This window comes from Homo sapiens, chromosome 17, assembly GCF_000001405.40.
Source record: "Homo sapiens chromosome 17, GRCh38.p14 Primary Assembly".
Classification (NCBI taxonomy): Eukaryota; Metazoa; Chordata; class Mammalia; order Primates; family Hominidae; genus Homo; species Homo sapiens.
In genome coordinates, this window is record NC_000017.11 from 54255655 (window position 1) to 54259528 (window position 3874).

Genomic DNA, 3874 nt, shown 5'->3' on the forward strand with positions numbered 1-3874 from the left:
TTGATATAAAGCAAGAAGAAGACATGAAAAATCTTTGCAAAAAGTGGAATTTTTCAAAATAAGTAAATTACTTGGACTGTTATTTTGATTCACATGTGACATTTCTGACTTCAAATTAAAACATCAAATTATTCGCCAAACACGAATCTTGAGGTTTTTCAATTGGTTAGTACAATCTGTCACCCCAAATTAAATTTCTAAAGGAGTGTGTCTTTGGATATTATATACTTCAGAGCTGACAGGGACACTATCTAATTAGCTATTTATATGCAAAGCAGGGGAAGGGATAATTAGAGACATGGATTATGCAAAAGCAATCACACTGACAGAGGGCAAAAGAAACTGCGAACATATTGAATCAAATTTGTTTTTATATTTCTACAGTTTATCACATTTCATTTGTATTATATTACATTTATGCATCATTTAACATGTTATAAATGAAGTAATATCCTAATCCATTGATTGATTAAATATAAATCTTAGAAAATAAACTATCTATTGGACTACAAATATAATAAGCTTCAGTGGATAAAAGGCAATAAAGACCTACATTTAGAAAATGCCTTCCTTAGAGTCAAGCTCCAATACTTTTTTCTCCAGAGACACAGGAAAAAAGATAAACATATTTAACTTTCTATCACTAATAGCGTAGTCAAGGTGCTTATCAAAATAAAAAAATCCTGGCTTATAAAACCTGTGCTAGTTAGTTATCTCCTGCTGCATAACACTCCACCCCAAACTTTTCGAGTAAAAAGGTAAATATTTTATTATGCTCACAATGTTGTTGGTCAGAAAATTGAGAGTGACACAGAGAAGGTATCTTGTCTCTACTCCACTGTGACTGGGACCTCAGCTGAGATAACTTAAATGAGTGGAAGTTGATTGGGCAATTTAACTATGGTCATGTATCTGGGGCTTCAGTTCTGGCTGTCGACCAGTTTCTTTGGTTTTTTCTGTGTTGCATCTGCTTAAGATAAAATGTCTAAGACGGCTTCTTCACTGACAGCCTTGCATGTAGGCTAGGATGGTTGGAATAGCTGGAATTGAATGGCCGTCTCTCCTCTTTTTCTCATGCAGCCTCCCCCATGGCTAGCTTGAGCTTCCTCACAGCATGATAATCTTAGGGCAATCCTTGCATAGTGGCTTACTTTCCCAGAGCAAACATTTTCATGAGAAGGATGGGGAAGTGGACAGTCTATTAAGGCTTGGACAAGGAAACCACCACAAGTATAATTCTACAATATTTTCTGGTGAAAATATGCCAAGATTCAAGGAAAGAGGACATAGATTTCCATCTCTCAATGCAAGGCATGTCAAAGAATTTGCAACCATTTTTGATATGCTAAACAACCTCATTTCCACCATGATGATTTATCAGAACCTGGAAGATTTTAGTAGGACTCTGTGATATGACTTCATATAGGCTTTCATTTGCACAACAGTTCACCCCTCCCAAAGAGTCAGAAATTCACTTCCAACCAATTGAATGTTTTGGTAGAGATTACTTTTAAAAATCTCTTCCAAAGTTAGTGAGTTGAAATTTATGTGTGAGCTCACAGTTTGGTACAGTGAACTGAACTCTGAGTATTTATCTCATATGTTGTATTTATCTCATATCCTACCAAAATCCAATTAAAATGATGGTAAGGAAGGTAAAAAAGGAATACATTCATAAAAGTGCAGAGAGGGAAGAAGGATCATTAGAGGGGTAGATTAAGGTGATGCGCTTATCTGTACTCTAAGTATGGAAGGTGAAGCATTGAAATATTGAAGTTATATAGCATCATATTGATAGGAAAACTGAACAGAAATAGAATCAGTGCAGTGTATGCTAAAGGAATGCTCAGGTGGAACCTGCAGAACCACACTCACATAAGAAAATTAAAGAAAGTAAAAGCAGGAAGGGGAGCAGAGACTGAATGGTCATAATGCCTGTTTATTCCTGCATATACAATTGTACTGTTTGCTCCCAGGTGGAACTAAAGAACCATTCTTTAAAGAGTTGAGTAACCTGCCTAGTCACATTACGAGTTGTGTGCAGAAAGGATTAACCTTGCCCAAAGATAAGTTTGGCCCTTTGCCTTCAGCTCCTGGGAGGAAATCTTTTATTCCTTGGAATATCATGCCTGATAAGAGCATCTTTGTTTATCTGGGGGCTTTCGGCCACACCAGATAAACTATACTAATAATATAATTTATAATGGCAGTCAGAGAAGAGTATATTATTGATAAATCAAAAAATAAAGGAATTAACAAATATTTTAGTTATATATATAACTTTTTGAATAATTAAATAGAAAAAAATCAAAAGTAATTGCCTTTTTGGAGTGGGATGAAATCATGGAGTGCAGAAATGTGTTGTCCTACTCTATTTTTTAAATGATTATTTCCATTAACATAGATTCTTGGAATTTTTGTTTGTTTGTTTTGTTTGTTTGTTTTTTGAGACGGAGTCTAACTCCATCGTGCAGGCCGGAGTGCAGTGGTGGGATCTCGACTCACTGCAACCTTCACCTCTTAAGACTCAAGTGATTCTCCTGCCTCAGCCTCCCAAGTAGCTGGGATTACAGTAGCGTGCCACCATGCCTGGCTAATTTTTTTAAAATTATTTTTAGTAGAGACAGGGTTTCGCCATGTTGGCCAGGCTGGTCTCGAACCCCTGACCTGAGGTGATCTGCCCACCTCGGCCCCTCAAACTGTTGGAATTACAGGTGTGACCCACTACTCCTGGCCAGGTTCTTGGATATTTAGTAGAGTACATGGCCTTCCAAAATAGACTACACTTTCCTGTTTCCTTTGCATTGCAACGTGGCTATGTTACTAGGTTTTGGTCAATGGAGTATGCTCAGAAATGTGTGGCAACTTTCAGAAACCATCACTAAAAGACATTGGTGGGTACTTTTTGCCCCTTTGCCCCTTTTTACTAATGAACTTTTTCCTTGCTGCCTGAAACATAGATACTGTCTTGGAACATAAGTGTGAAAGACATGCACTAGAGAAAGCATATTCAGGAAGCAGCCAGGGTCTTTGAGAACGTAGTGGGAAAAAACTGGCATATTGGCCCTAATCTGCATAGCTCCAAACTTTAACATGAGAGAGAAATAAGCTCTTGACTTTGGTATAAATCAAGTTATTTTGAGTTTTCTGCATATGCATCTAAAATTTATTCTAATCCATATATATTTTATTAAAAAACAAATGTACATTCTGCCATCTATTTTACTTTCTTTTTATTTTCTCAATCTTCACACTCCCTCTTCTCTTTTTCTTTTAAATATTTATATTTTTAACATCAGTCTCTTGATAATGAGATCGTGGATGAAGGGCAATGCTTGCTTTGGTTAAATAGTTTCATCATGTGGACAGAACTCTTAGGCTATCTTCTCATGAATCCTTGGAATAAAGGGAGGTGAATATTCTGCCTTTAGCACACCATCAGTGTACTTAAGCACTAATATTTTGGCACCTTTGAAAAGAACAGGGCTGCAAGACGTTATTAGCGTCAGTACATTCCTTAAGTTATTAGTGAAATGAAAATGGAGTTTCAGACAACCAGCCAACATTAATGAAGCATTCCTTTTAGTCTCACAACTGTGCATAAGAATTTCTATTTCTTCCCAGGTTCACATAATTATTATTATTTTTACTTCCTTGGTATCATTACATAAAGGTATAACGTAAATGCAAAGTGTTTTTACAGACAGAGTCAAATGGGGTGCTGAGAGAATCTGACAACACCCTGGAGGAAATGACCAGATGCTTGTCATGTACATTTCTAATGCTATTGCTTAGATTGAAGCAAATATTGGGGGGAGGGGAACCCAAAAACCAAAAACTACATATTCTTCACTTCACATTAGCAAAGACAACA

At 36.6% G+C, this 3874-nt stretch overlaps 1 annotated feature.

Moving 5' to 3' along the window:
• Positions 711-1487: an enhancer, noted in NCBI's record as "OCT4-NANOG hESC enhancer chr17:52333726-52334502 (GRCh37/hg19 assembly coordinates)". NCBI's record gives its function as "activates a minimal SCP1, AML or CMV promoter by ChIP-STARR-seq in primed H9 embryonic stem cells {active_cell/tissue: H9 hESC(primed)}" and the evidence as "EXISTENCE:reporter gene assay evidence [ECO:0000049][PMID:30033119]".